We start from the raw sequence: 15,771 nt of genomic DNA, 5'->3' as shown, positions 1-15,771 counted from the left end.
GATGCTCTCAGCCCAGGTTTATGATCAATGGGATCCTATTGCCCTGCTGCTCATGGTACACTTGGCTGTACTTTATAGGATGGTTCTCCCCAAAGAATCTTGCAAGTTCGAACCACACTGGGCTGGCTAATGGAAAATCTTCAACACATTTCCCCCTACAAGATTGCTGGAAACATTTCCACCCCATCAGATTGCCAATCTGGTTCCAAATAGGATATCCCTAAAACGTGTTATTATTGTGGCTGTTTTTTAAGACAATATTGGTTGTGCCACAGGTAGCGACTATCTGGAGCTAGTAGCATGGGAGGAAAAAAGAATTTACCAAGACGGTTTTAGGTAAAGAAAGGCAGATTTATTAGAGAAAGTAGGAAAGTATGTTGCAAGGAAGCAGTGGGCAGGCCAGCAAGAGAAGAGCTGAGCGCAAAGAGATAAAGGGTTACTGGGGATTTTATAGGATGGTACTTGTGCTGTGTGCTGGAGAGGGCTTCGTACAGTAATGATAATGCCAAAGTTACAGTGAGCTAACTTGCATTTTCCAATCAGCTGAGTGTCTGATGATAGCTGGGTATAGGAAGATTGTGAGTTATTTGCCCAGGAGGGCTATGTGTCCTGGACCATGAAGAAAGGCAGATTTGTAGCTTATCTCCTTTTTCTTTCTGTTTTCCCCTGCTGCTGCCAGACTGACTTCTTTTTCCTCATTAGGACTCCACAGGTTATATTCATGGGGAAACAATAGTAAACTACTTGCATAAGTTTTCTCAGCCCCACACACCTATCCCTGTTCAAGCCCAGTGAAATGTTCTGTATTTTATAGCCTTCAACCAGCCATTTGCCAAGCAGCTATTGGACTGTCTCCCATCCCGGATACTTAAGATGACTTCCTTCCATTAACTGAAACATTGATTTGAGACAATCACTTTGCAAGTACATTGATCCCTTTAATGGGAAATTGTTACATAAGGTTCCCAGATTTCACATCTTACCCTGTTTTTGAATATTGACACTTTCTAAAGCATTCCCACGTGAAGTTTGAAAGAGAGGTTGGTTGGATGTGTATTGAAAGGAGTCAGATGCACTACAGAAACACACACCTGGTACCATAGCCTCAGCAGAGTAGTGCTTTGGGTGTTTTGTGGGAGTTTAGCTCTAGAAATTAACAAAAGGATTAGACAAGGATTCAGTTCATCTCGGTTGTATTTCCATATTCATGCCCATACTGTGAGGTTAGAATATCAATTTCTCAAACGACGTTGGAACACCTTGAGCAGCTGCTCCATTCAAAGCACTATGGGGAGGGTATGGTGAATACTAAAATGAAAAATACGACCAGTCTACAAGCAACAGGTGTAAGTCAAGAGTATATTACGATACAGCACAAAGGTCGATGTCACCTTTATAAAATTCTAACTGAATGTTTTGCTTATGGAAGGCAGAATGGAAGTGCCTTGGAGTGTTCACACCTGATTCAAATTCATGGGAACAGCCATAGGAGAATGAGGTTGAGCGACATGGTGAACAAACTATCAGTTAGTTACTCATGAAGCCAGAATGGAAAATGCAGGTTAGATGTGTGGTCAAAGTTGTGCCTCCTACTTCTATTTTCAGAAATGAACTTGCCAAAGTTAAAGGAGTCACAGCTGCAAATCTGCAGGTTGTGTATGTCCCCACGGAGGGTAGGGACAAAACAGTCAAAGACCAGGCTGCTCTTTCCTCCCTCGCCCTCCCACCCCGAGGAACAAGTTCAGGGAAACAGGCTGCTCTAAAGAAGGAGAGCCAATGCTCTGCATGCTAAATTCATTCCTTCGTCTCGCTAGGGAGGTCAATCTTCCTGCCACAGGAGGCGTAAGTCAGTGAGAAGTAGAAAGGAGGAGGAAGTTATGTTTTTTAATGCTTCCAAAAGGGTAGAAGTACTTAATCTTTGGGCCAAAGCCCTGGGCAAAGTAGAAACCCTGGGAGAGTGAGAGGGTGGATCTCAAAGTCATGATGGAGATAAGGAGGACCAAGTTACAATATGAACTGAGATTCAATCATGACCCTGGATTGTATTTGGGACAGCCTTGTTAACTATTTTCATGCCAATGGCCCATCCTATTACAAGTGAAGATAACTTTATACCTCCAGTATCTTTCCATCAATAATCCTATGAGGCCTCTCTGCATTTGTTTTCCTAGCATCCAATGCTGAAAAATGGAAAACAGGTAGATGGGCAAGTTTCCTCTTGAAATTAGAAAGAGAAGGAAGGGAAATCTGTTTGAGTCAGGCAGCAGCAGAGAATGGCAAGTGCATTTGTAATTTTCATATGCAGGGTGCAGCAGGTCACTGCATGTCCGTGACCCTTTTCCTGGAGAGTGTAGGTGTGGCAGAAGGTATGGCAGAAGTGTGCACTCCAGCTCTTGTGCCTCAGCATAACTCCTGATGTCTGGTCAGTTATAATATTGCTGCTGTTAATAATTGCAAATGCTGTTACTCTACATAGCAGATATTGTCCTAAGCTGATTATACATATATATATATTTATGTGCAGATATAAATGTCTGTATATGTACGTATGCATATATATACATATGTCTGTATACACACACAAACAATAAATTATTTAATTATCCCAACAACCGTATGCATTTCATTACTACCCCACTTTACAGAAATGCTAAGGAATTTGTCAGTTACAAACACAAAAGATTAAGGGACTTGTCTAAAGTCAAGAAGGCTGGAGAGCTGGAAATCAATCCTGAGTCCTTGCTCTATCCACTAAGACACATAAAACTTTCTGGATGGGCAGCGATTGCACTCAGGGTTGCAGGCTAGCCCAGTGGTCGTCCAGACCAGAGGAGAAACACTGTCTTCTTTCATCATTCTGCAATGTTTCTGGAACTTCACAGACAGGGAAGCTATGAGAACCAATGGTGCTGGGAATCTAGATGTCAGGTTTCCTTTCAAAAAGCTAGACTTGCCCTTGTTGCTCCCACTGCTGTGGCGTATGTGTGGGAAAAGCAGTGCTGCTAGGGAGGGCATTGTTGAGGAGGAGAAGTCCAGCGAGCAATGCTCTAAATCACAAAGGAATGAATCAGAAGCAACACACAGAAGTAAAAACATTTCTCTGGGGCAAGAGGAAGATCCCCCTTTTCTGAACATTTTTACAGCGTTTCTCTACTTCAGGGTTTCTCCTAGACTCTGAAGACTAAATGTGTTTTATGAATTATAATCTACAAATGGAAACCCACTAAATTCCATCCACTTGTCCATGCCTCCCATTATTTGATGACTTGGCTGTAAAGGAAAGTAGCCTGAGATTTATACTTTTAAAAATTTTCTTTTTCTAATTATTTATTAAAAAAAAAAAAAAACTGAAGGCTACATCACCCAGTCTTCCCCAGTCAGCTTCCTATCCAAGGGCTAACCAGGCCTGACCCTGCTTAGCTTCAGAGATAAGGCATGTTCAGCATAGTATGGCTGTAGGCAAATTTTCCATTAGGAAATATTTGTTCTACCTATTATTTCATCTCTTCCTAAATAAAAACAAGCTTAATGGCTAATATGCACATTTCTGTTAATATCCTCTGCCTAAGTGGGGTGGGATGTTTATTTTACAAACCTGAAAGGGAAATACAGTCACTCAGGTCTTGCCCAGTGTTTTGTCAAAAGAATAGATTCTTCGAGGGATTTGAAAAGGGAATCAAATACAACCCACTGAAACTGGAATGACCTCAACTTCCTCACTGCTCATTAAGAAGCTAAGACGACAGAAAGCAGGAAGGTCAGGAGGAGCCACGATGGCATTTTGGCATAATTTTCAACTGTCTTAAAAAAGTATGATGAAATTAAAGTACTGCAAGAAATAACTGATATGCATTTCCAATTTGTTTCATCTCATTTCACTCTCAGGCCCCATTCCTTTAAGATTCCTCCCATTAATATTCTCCAGTTACTCTACTCAAGGTTTTATCTGTTGATTTTCCTTTGCCTAGATAAAGCCAAGAATTGTTGTGTGAATTCCTTCTAGCTAGAATTCAAAGATGCCAAATGAATAATTGTCCCTTAGAGAGTTTTTAGATCCTTATAAAAGATGAAGCATTGACTACAGTGAAAGGGAGGAAGAAAGGAAAGGAGGGAGGGAAGGAAGAAAGAAGGAAAGGAAGAATGAAGGGACATTATTCTGTGATCTTGCAAGTCACTTCCCCTTTTGTCATCTCAGTGTTACCAGTGGAGGGTGTCCAGGTTCTTGGTGTTTTGAACAAAGAATTGGACAAAATGCGCAAACAAAGCAATGAAAGAAAAATGACAGATTTATTGAAACAAAAGTATACTCCACAAAGTGGGAGCAGGCTCAAGCAAGCAGCTCAAGAGTGCTGGTTACAGAATTTTCTGGGGTGTAAATACCCTCTAGAGGTTTCCCATTGGTTATATGTTTACACCCTACATAAATGAAATAGTGGCCCACAACCAGTCTGATTGGTTGCCTCCTGTGACCAGTCAGAGGCTAAAGTGAAGTTACAAAATTATACCCTATGCAAATGTCTGATTGGTTGGGGAGGGTGACCAATCAGAGGCTGAAGTGAAGTCACAAAGTTATACCCCTATGCAAATGAAGACTAGGCCCCTGACCAGCGTGATTGGTTGCGGGAGGGGACCAGTCAGAGGTACTTTCCATTTCTCTTGTGTGATGCAGAGAAAAGGTGTGGGGTGTGGGCGGTGTGCGGGGGTGGGAAGAGAGGGGGGAGTGGGAGGGGTGGCTGCAAAGGGAATAGCCTCTGATCCTTTTGTTACTTGGGTGTGGAGTGGTGGGGTTTTCCTTTTGATTCAAATCAGTCTTAGGTTCCCTTCCTCCAGACCCTATTCTGCTGCCTCATCAGTATCCTTAATTTTGAAATAAAGTTGAACTAACTGTTCTCTAAGATTCTAACATCCTCCCCTGTCTCTTCAATTAGTCATGTTCCTTCTGGCAGGCATTATGATTCCCATGTGGTAGACATGGAAAATAAGACATCAAGAAGTTAAGTGGTATAAACCACCCACTGTGGGAATGAAGGGGCGGGAGAGTAAGCACATTTCTGAGCAGGAGGCTGCTTTCAGCTCCCAAGATTCAATTCTTGATTTTCTATCCCCCGTAACAAAAATTTCACCTTGAGGGCAGAAACAAAATCAACTTAGAGCTCCTAGTAATTAAATTTCCTGCAGCAACTCAGAATATAAATCAGCAGCTAACTGGATGCATGTGAGCTGCTCCCAGTTGCAGGTTCTTTTGTCTTTGTCAAGAAAATTAAAGAAATACTTGTTCACATTTCTATAAAATCATGGAAACAACAAACTGGGCATCTGTAAATGATAAATTGAGCTTTCTTGAGCTAACTCATATTAATTATTCTGAATTACAGCAAAGAACGGTGCTAATGTCTCTCCTCTCTCCATTCTGATGACAACAGCATCCATCAGACACCCGCGCTGGTTTCCGCATCACTAATAAAACCCACCAAACTCTGTCTCTCTTTATGCTGCCTCTCATGACCTAGCTAAAAATGATTCCGCCCCCCCCCCCCCCCGCAATCACTGCATTCTCTTTGATGACCACCTTTCACTAATTTTGACAAAATAAGAAATAAAAGTCTGGGCGTGGTGGCTCATGCCTGTAATCACAGCACTTTAGGAGGCTGAGGTGGGCAGATCACCTGAGGTCATGAGTTCAAGACCATCCTGGCCAAGATGGTGAAACTCTATCTCTACTAAAAATAAAAAATTAGCCAGGCATAGTGGCGTGCTCCTGTACCAGCTACTCGGGAGGCTGAGGCAGGAGAATTGCTTGAACCCAGGAGGCAGAGGTTGCAGTGAGCCGAGATTGCGCTACTGCACTCCAGCCTGGGTGACAGAATGAGACTCCATCTCAAAAAAAAAAAAAAAAAGGAAAGAAAGAAAAATACTTTTCTGGTGTAATTACGTGCTTCTCCTAATTCTTATTTTTATTTTGAAACCCAAAACACCTAGGCAGAAAGAGGAGGACAAGCACATGGCAAGTAGGACCTGGCCCCCACCCACAGGGAATGCCTAGTCTTGCCAGTGCTTCACTTGGCAAATAATCCTTCCTGAAGATGAAACATTAAACTCATTTTTGAGTATTCTTGTATCAGCTTTCTTGAAGACCCTTAATCTCTTTGTACCTCGGTTTTCTTACTGTGAAATGGGTTGTCGTGAGGTTTAAATGCATGTAGACATATGAAGCCTTGAGAACAGTACCTGGAGCACAGCGAGCACTATAATTAATTAGCATTGCTTCTCTTGTTATCAATCGACCACACAGGGACAACTAACATCTCCTTGGATTGTATGAAACCCAAACCCTCCCACCAAAGTCCCCCGTACTTCAAAATGTCATAGTGCAAGAGAGAGAACGGAACCACTGACATAACTTGAGTTTTTTTGCTGTTGTTTTTTTTGAGACAGAGTCTCACTCTGTTGCCAGGCTGAAGTGCAGTGGCACAATCTCGGTTCACTGCAACCTCTGCCTCCCAGGTTCAAGCAATTCTCCTGCCTCAGCCTCCCAAGTAGCTGGGATTACAGGCACAAGCCACCATGCCCAGCTAATTTTTTTGTATTTTTAGTAGAGATGAGGTTTCACCATGTTGGCCAGGATGGTCTCCATCTCTTGATCTAGTGATCCGCCCACCTCGGCCTCCCAAAGTGCTGGGATTACAGGCGTGAGTCACCGCGCCCGGCCATAACTTGAGTTTTCAATAAAATGACTATCCTGATAACAGCTTCTTGACAGTGGACTACAGTTGTTGAGACCTTAATTAAGCCTCTCTCAGCTCCATGGGTTCATCACTAACAATATGCCCACTTTGTAAAAAAAAAGAAATCGATCTCTTCCAAAGAATAATTAGCTATAAATATCCAGCTTTTTCAGGATGATTTTCTTCAAACGGTTGAACCATTCAGTCAATCATTTAACTTAATTTTGACTGCATAAATCAACTGTGTGATTGAACTAGGAAGTCAGAGCAGCCCATCAGGATGCTCTGTGGCGTGTGGTCGGCCACAGAGGCTGGACAGGGCTGAGCAACCTATCGCCAGGCAGAGGGCTGATCCTTGGCAAGTCCTCAGATAACTATTTAAAATTAAAAAAATAATAGATGTTTGTGAGGGTATGGAGAAAAGGGAATCCTTATACACTGTTGGTGGGAATGTAAGTTAATACAACCTCTATGGAAACAGTGTGGAGATTTCTCGAAGAACTAAAAATAGAATTACCATTCGATCCAGCAATCCCACTACTGTGTATCTACGCATAGCAAAAGAAGTCATTATATCAAAAAGAAAGGTGCCTTTGTATGTTTATCATAGCACAATTCACAGTAGCAAAGATGTGGAATCAAAGTATTCATCAACAGGCCTGGTGCGGTGGCTTATGCATGTAATCCCAGCACTTTGGGAGGCCAAGGCGGGTGGATCACCTGAGGTCAGGAGTTTGAGACCAGCCTGGCCAACGTGGTGAAACCCTGTCTCTACTCAAAATACAAAAATCAGCTACATGTGGTGGCGGGAGCCTGTAATCACAGCTACTTGGGAGGCTGAGGCAGGAGAATCACTTGAACCTGGGAGGCAGAGGTTGCAGTGAGCCAAGATCGCTCCATTGCACTCCAGCCTGGGCGACAGAGTGAGACTCCATCTCAAAAAAAAAAAAAAAGATGTTCATCAACAGATGATTGGATAAAGAAAATGTGGTATATATACACAATGGAATACTATTTAGCCACAAAAAAGAATGAAATCATGTCTTTTATAGCAACATGGATGGAACTGGAGGCCACTATCTTAAGTGAAACAACTCAGAAATGCAAAATCAAGCACCACACATTATCACTTATAAGTGGAAGCTAAATAGTGTGTACACATGGACATAGAGAGTAGAATAATTGACATTGGAGATTCAGAAGGGTGAGAGCATAGGAGCGGGATGAAGGATGAGAAATTAATGAGTACAATGTATACTATCCAGGTGATGATGGTTACAATAAAAGTCCCCACTTCACCACTGAGCAAAATATCCACGTGACAAAACAGCCTTGTACTCCTTAAGTTCATTTTTAAAAATTAAGAATTTGTCAGCAAATCAGTCAGACCTTCAGCTTCTTTTCCCTTTAATAATCTAGACATAGAAATTCATCAGCAACCCAGATCTCTATATTATTTTTCCCATTGCCAGCATTTTAAAATTTGTCATAAATCTGTCCTGAATTTCTTGCTGTGGGCGAAAAAGCTGCAAAACAAAAGCCAGTTTTGTTCCATTTTGTTTGGTTGGTTTTTTTTCCATCATCGACAGCAGCCTGAACTAATACGTAAAACTAGAAATAGGCTTGAGTCATTCTAGGGTAGAGGAAGATATTCAGAGGAAATGTAATTCTCTTTACATCTCTAGAGGGCAGTGCTTGGCTTCTTGCCTTGACTCCAGGTCCTAAAGCTGTAATGTAGCCACAGAATGGAATGATGTCAGAGGTTGCAAATAAAACCTCACAGCAATCAGCAGCTTAGTTTATGCGACAGGGGAAATGGAACACTAAATCTTTGTTTAGAATAGAGTTATTAAAAATCGGAGAAAATCTAGACAGTACCCAGGGAGACGGTGCCCAGTTGCATCTTGATGGTGATAAATGGTTCATAAGGAGAGTCTTGGGGTAGATACATGCTGAGAATGTTCATAAATATTCTTCCCTCCATCTGATCCTGCCTAAAGGGACAAACATCACTCAGAATGATGGTGCCGTTACAGAAGCGTTTTTATGTTCCTCTTCCCAATTTTCCATTAGCTAATGCGGTTTGAGCCAGGCACTGAGCTAATATTTGCCTGTGCCTTTTCATTTATTCTTCACAGCAATCTTATGAAATATACCAATCTTCGGATGGAGGAAGTGAAGAGCTGAAGTGCCTTGCCCGTGGTGGAGCTAGTCTGTCTCCAGAGCCTGCTCCATAGGTGACTTGCTACATCCTAACTAGGCCATATTGGTCTCTCTCTAGTTTCTGTGCTCCCTGGGCAGGGAGGAGCTATCAGAGTTGGCATCCTGGTACCCTTCTGGGTGTCAGTTTTCAAAATAATAGTTATCCAGAATAATCACATCCTATCATATTGAAGAGCAGTTGTCTTTCTTCAGATTGGTGGAGCTTGCAATAGTTGTTTTTGTTTGCTTGATTTTCGTCTTCAACAGCAGCCTGAACGTGCTGTGACTACTTCATTTAATATCATTCTACACATCAGGAGAGAGTCAGCAGGGAGTGTGGCAGGGGCAGCTGCTTTGATCCACGGCCACTGCCTTTGCCTTTCATCTGCCCCAGCCTCAGTAGAGAGGGCAAACATCCACATGAAGATTAGCAGACAAATACTTCTGAGAAACAAGGTGGATAGGGAAATAGCATGGTTTTTTTTTTTTCTTTCTTTCCTTGAGACAGGATCTTGCTCTGTTGCCCAGGCTAGAGTGCAGTAGGGCAATCACTGTTCACTGCAGCCTTGAACTCCTGGGCTCAAGGGATCCTCCCACCTCAGCTGACCAAGTGGCTGGGATTACAGATTTGTGCCTCCACACCAAGCTCATTTTTTATTTTTTTGTAAAGACATGGTCTCACGATATTGCCCAGACTGTTTTTGAACAAACAATCCTCCCATGCCTGACTTTAAATAGCATATTCTCATGCAAGCTTTGAGCAGTTTTCCAAGCATTAGTGTTTGCCACGTGTGAGCAAATGACCTGAAAACACCACGGGTCTGACATGGAGAAACCAAAGGAAATCAGAGAGACCTGAACATAGTAAAAGTGAACTATGGCCACTGAATTTGCCTTTTGGACTCAAAAGTCAAATGATTCCCTTGATATCTGCTTTCGTGGAGGCCTATCTCTGGCTCTACTAGGCTTGAATAGCATTGATTTCGTTATATTTATTTATATTCCATAAGTCTTTGAGCAACTGGTGGTATTTGATTACACAAGTTCTTTAGTGGTGATTTGTGAGATTTTGGTGCGCTCATCACCCAAGCAGTGTACATTGAACCCAATTTGTAGCCTTTTATCCCTCACCCCCTTCCCTTCCCCCATGTCTCCCAAGTCCCCAAAGTCTGTCATATCATTCTTATGCCTTTGCATCCTCATAGTTTGGCTCCCACATATGAGTGAGAACATATGATGTTTGGTTTTCCATTCCTGAGTTACTCCACTTAGAATAATAGGCCCCCAATCCCATCCAGGTTGCTGTGAATGCCATTAATTCATTCCTTTTTATGGCTGAGTAGTATTCCAACATATGCATATATATCACAGTTTCTTTATCCACTCGTTGATTGATGGGCATTTGGGTTGGCTCCACATTTTTGCAGTTGCAGACTGTGCTGCTATAAACATGGATGTGCAAGTATTTTTTCGTATAATGATTTCTTTTCCTCTGGGTAGATACCAGTAGTGGGATTGCTGGATCCAATGGTAGTTCTACTTTTAATTCTTTAAGGAATCTCCACACTGTTTTCCATAGTGGTTGTACTAGTTTACATTCCCTCCAGCGGTGTAGAAGCGTTCCCTGTTCATCACATCCACGCCAACATCTATTATTTTTTTATTTTTTGATTATAGCCATTCTTGCAGGAGTAAGGTGGTATCACATTGTGGCTTTGGTTTGCATTTCCCTGATCATTAGTGATGTTGAGCACTCTTTCATATGTTTGTTGGCCATTTGTATATCTTCTTTTGAGAATTGTCTACCCATGTCCTTAGCCTACTTTTTTATGGGGTTGTTTTTTTCTTGCTAATTTGAGTTCATTGTAGATTCTTGATATTAGTCCATTGTCAGATGTATAGATTGTGAAGATTTTCCCCCACTCTGTGAGTTGTCTGTTTATTCTGCTGACTGTTCCTTTTGCCATGCAAAAGCTCTTTAGTTTAATTAAGTCCCGGCTATTTATTTTTGTTTTTATTGCATTTGCTTTTGGGTACTTGTTCATGAAATCCTTGCCTAAGCCAATGTCTAGAAGGGTTTTTCCAGTGTTATGTTCTAGAATCTTTGTGGTTTCAGGTCTTAGAGTTAAGCCCTTGACCCACCTTGAGTTGATTTTTGTAGAAGGTGAGAGATAAGGATCCAGTTTCATTCTCCTACAGTGTCTTGCCAATTATCCCAGCACCATTTGTTGAATAGCGTGTCCTTTCCCCACTTTATGTTTTTGTTTGCATTGTCATAGATCAGTTGGCTGTAAGTATTTGGGCTTATTTCTGGGTTCTCTATTCTGTTCCATTGGGCTATGCGCCTATTTTTATACCAGTAACATGCTGTTGTGGTGACTGTGGCCTTATAGTATAGTTTGAAATCAGGTAATGTGATGCCTCCAGATTTGTTCTTTTCGCTTAGTCTTGCTTTGGCCTATGCAGGCTTTTTCGTCCCATATGAATTTTAGAATTGTTTTTCCTAGTTCTGTGAAGAATGATGGTGGTATTTTGATGGGAATTGCATTGAATTTGTAGATTACTTTTGGCAGTATGGTCATTTTCACAATATTGATTCTACCCATCCATGAGCATGGGATGTGTTCCCATTTGTTTGTGTCATCTATTCTTTCAGCAGTGTTTTGTAGAGATCTTTCACCTCCTTGGTTAGCCTCAGTCCTTTTGCACATGCCTGATATGCCCTACCTGCTCTATCTCCTTTCACTTAACCGCTAATAGTCCTTAATGTGTCTGTACATCTCACTCTAGGAATCTATATTAAAGGCGCACAAAGATATATCAGGATGCTCATTGTTTTATTTTTGCATTAGGGAAAGTATAGGAATGAAGTCTATCAGTGGGTTAAACAACTTGTGTCCATCTATCCTGTGGTTACCATGAAGCTGGAAATCGATGACAGATCTGTACAGAGGAACATGGAAAGATCTCCAGGCCATGTTGTACTGGGGAGTCCTGGGAGCAAAGAGAGACAGGTTCATACATGGTAGATGACCTCTCCTATCATCCTGAGTAAAGAGTCTTGGGGAAGGGCTTAAGGAAGGGATAAAAAGGGAGTTTACTATCAATGGGCCCTGGGTCTTTAGAGAGCCAAGGTTTCCCTAATAACCCCTCACTGGGTGTTCAAGTCATAGAAAGCATGTATTTTTGTGTGCTGTTCTTTAATGACCAAAATTTCACATTGTATAGTTTCATTGACTAAATTAAAAATCATCTGTAATTTTTGCAAAGGGATACTGGACTCAACTGAAGCCAGTATAGCTATGTTCCTGAGTGTATTTGATTAGGGGTCAGAAAACCTGCACTCAATTCTTAATTTACCACTGACTAAATCTCTAACTTGGGGCTAGTATTTTTACTTATTTGTGTGAGCTTTACTTTCCTCATCCATGCCTTGAGAGAGGTGGACAAAATGATCTCTGTGGTCTTTTAAGATGCTATTGGTCTATTACTCTTAAGGCTTGTGTAACGTTAATAAGAATAATAATTACTAACATACTGCTAGTGATTACCATGTGATAGACACTTCTTATATGTATTAACCATTTCAATTATCATAGCAACATATGAAATAAATACTATTATCTCTATTTTACGGAAGAAGAAGCTGAGGCCCAGAAATTAAGTATGTTGTTCAAAGTCACACAGCTAGAAAGTTGTGGAGCTATTAACAGAACCTCAATCCAGGCAGTCTGACTCCAGAATCCATGATTCCAGCCAGAATCCATGATTCCAGCCATTCGGTTATGTTGCAAGTAAAATTGACCTTTTTCTTGCCACCTGATTGAATGAGTCATACAAAAAAAGTGTTAAGGAAACAAATCTGAAGAGCTGATGTGAAAAGTATAGATGAATATAAGAAATTATAGATGACTATAAGAAAATTAGAGACCTAATACAAAAAACCAGCAAAATTTTACTTAAATATTTAGCATTTTTATAACATATCACCTCTATGTACCATAATGTAACTATATCTACTTACTTCAAATGCAAGAAAAAAGATGTCACAACTACCTCATTCTTATGCATTCCTTTTTTCTCTGAAAATAACACCAAAAGACACACATGGCATTGATGCTTTCAATTTTAATTTCACAGATGAAAGAACTCGGTGTCATCTTCTACAACTGCAGCTGCCTGGTCCTAGATTTACAAAGGATATTTGCTCTATATAGTTCATTAAAATTCAAAAGCAGAGTGCCTCAAACCTGGTCCAAAAGACTCTATGGAGTCTATGACAATGAAAAGAAATTGCAACTTCAGTTGAATGAAACCAAATCTCAAGCATTTGTATCGGTGAGTTGTTTTCCCTTTCTCCTCCCCTTCTCCTTCTTCCTCCAAAGGCTCTTTATTAAGTTGGAATGTTTAAGTGTGATCTTGTATTGGGCAAAAATGAATTACAGTGGTTCTATCCCATGACGTGAAGAGTTAAAATGCGTCCACCCTTACACGCAATCATACCCTCAAATATAATAAATCTTGATCATCATTCCTTGTGTCAGATACCTTGAGTTATCTGATTTGATTCCCTCAATCACCCTGTAAGCTAGGTATGGGGTTGTGTCCATTTTGCAAATGAAGGTATCGACCTTACCTACTAGCAAAAAGCCCATCCGATGGGACATGCTAAGAGCGGAGCCAGCACCCAGCTCTTCTGACACCAGAGCCTGTTAGCCTGTTTTCAATGCCCTACATTGATTTTTCAGACTTGTTTTTATCAGAACCCTTTGATGAGACAAATCTGAGGGAATCTCAGTGTATAGATCAGACAAAAGCAGAGCTGCTGTACCTGGTTGGGGCAAGCAGGCAAGAGGCCCACACAACAGGACAGTGCTCCTTGCACAGCTTCGGGCCTCTGACTCTGCTAAGAACCATTAGCCACACCCTCCACCCACCCTCACCTTCCCAGTCCACCACCCAGCTAGGCACATGCCACAGCTATCCAGAGATGTTACTGGAAAGGGGCAATGTAAATATCTGGGCCTACAGTCCTAGTCCTCAAACTGTAGTACAGTAGATCCTTCAATAACATCGTTTTGTTCAATGCCCATTCATTATCATGTTGATAAGAAAAAAAACAATTGATTTTCGGCTGGGGCCACCGTGTGTGTGGAGTTTGCACGTTCTCCACCTGTCTGTGTTGGCTTTTGCCGGGTACTGCTGTTTCCTCCCACATCTCAGAGCTGTGCAAGTGGAATGAACTGGCAGATCTGTGTGGTCCCAGTGTGAGCGAGTGTGAATGTGTGTGTGAGTGGTCCCAGTGTAAGCGAGTGTGAATGTGTGTGTGAGTGTGCTCTGCGATGGGATGTCCTCCTGTCCACAGGGGTCCCGGCTGCGAGGGGCTCTGGCCACCTGTGACCCTGAACTGGAGTAAGAGGGTAAATAATTATTTTACTTGTTTTTATTAGTCTTTCTTAAATGTATGTATAGCTCACATTTGTTTCAATGTTTAATATTCAAAGTGTTTTGGTCTTTAGAAGTTTGATGCTGTTTTTGGGACCAGAAATAAGCCATAGCAACTTAACTCTCCTTTATATCAATTAGCCTATGGTACCATTGTTTTCATCATACATCAGTTTGCTTAAAGTCATAGTATTCAAGAACCTGTCGGCGTCATTAAGTGAGGACTTACTGTACTTAAGAATTGGCTACGAAGTATGCTTAAAGTGCAGATTTATAGTGTCCCCTGTCCCCACCCAGGATCTTATCCACTGGATCTGAGATGAGATCTTAGAATTTTTATTTGAAGCAAGCTTCTGAAATTATCCTGATGTTCAGATCAACTTCTCTAAGTAATGCTCCCAATTTAATATTGCTATTTCAACCTTGGTTGATATTGGTGCTTTTATGCCAACAACTTTTTTGTCACTAAACAGCATTTTGTTGAAGATAAAGTGAATTGTATCCTTTTTGCCTGTTCAAAGGAAAACACCAGCAGAAAATTTAGAAGTGTAACAATAGAAAGAAAACACAAAGTTCAAGTTGTCTTAAATAACAAATTCACATAAATGTGAAGAGCAGAAAATAGACTATGAAGGATGTTCATCAGCTGGAGGTAAAATAACATTTTTGTATGGAGGAGGTCAAGAATGGAGTAGCAAGTAGCATATTATAGGGCATTTTACGAATAAATATAAATATAAATTATATAGACATTTTCAATTCATCTCAAGATGACCCTATAAGACCAGGAGGCCAAGGAGTATTCCTAATTTGTGGATGAGCAGCAATAGAAAATTTGCCAAGGAACCTTTAATCCAGAGGGCCACAGGGTGACACTACATGCCAAGCGTGGATCGCTTGATCAGATCCAGTAGAAAAACAAATTGGAAATAGCAAAAAATAGATGAATTAATGAACAAATTTTGAATAATCACTGGATTTTGAATTTACAGTTTCAACCTTGGAGATAAGTGAATATGGTTGTTGCATACATTTACATACTAACCCTTAAACAGGGAAAGAGTCAGTTTTTTGTTGATTTTAAAGCTAATGTATTTCCCAGAGAGAGTGGTCTCAGGCCTTTAGTAAAATCTACTACAATTCGATACCTTTGTTATTTTCTAGGGCAAATTCATAAGTGGCTTTTTCTTAAAGAGTTCACCACAAAAAGAGCTGTGAGACATTTCTTTGGGTAGTTTTTTAAACTGTGTAATACCTTTTCTTTTGTTTAAATTATACTTTAAGTTCTAGGATACATGTGCACAACGTGCAGGTTTGTTACCTATGTATACATGTGCCATGTTGGTGTGCTGCACCCACTAACTCATATTTACATTAGGTGTATCTCCTAATGCTATCC

At 41.0% G+C, this 15,771-nt stretch overlaps 1 protein-coding gene across 14 annotated transcripts in view; it reads left to right on the top strand.

The window, feature by feature from the left end:
- PLD5 (phospholipase D family member 5) overlaps positions 1 to 15,771 on the top strand; it is a 447,561-nt gene that overhangs the window by 392,814 nt on the left and 38,976 nt on the right. For all 14 annotated transcript variants that reach the window (XM_011544115.3, XM_011544116.3, NM_001320272.2 and 11 more), the window contains one exon: positions 13,068 to 13,265. In XM_011544115.3, coding sequence (XP_011542417.1) covers positions 13,068 to 13,265 — 198 coding nt within the window. The remainder of the gene's footprint in view (positions 1 to 13,067; positions 13,266 to 15,771) is intronic.

Source organism: Homo sapiens, chromosome 1 (assembly GCF_000001405.40).
Source record: "Homo sapiens chromosome 1, GRCh38.p14 Primary Assembly".
Taxonomy (NCBI): Eukaryota; Metazoa; Chordata; class Mammalia; order Primates; family Hominidae; genus Homo; species Homo sapiens.
The sequence above is the reverse complement of the archived record's forward strand: the minus strand, read 5'-3'. Positions and strand labels throughout refer to the sequence as shown.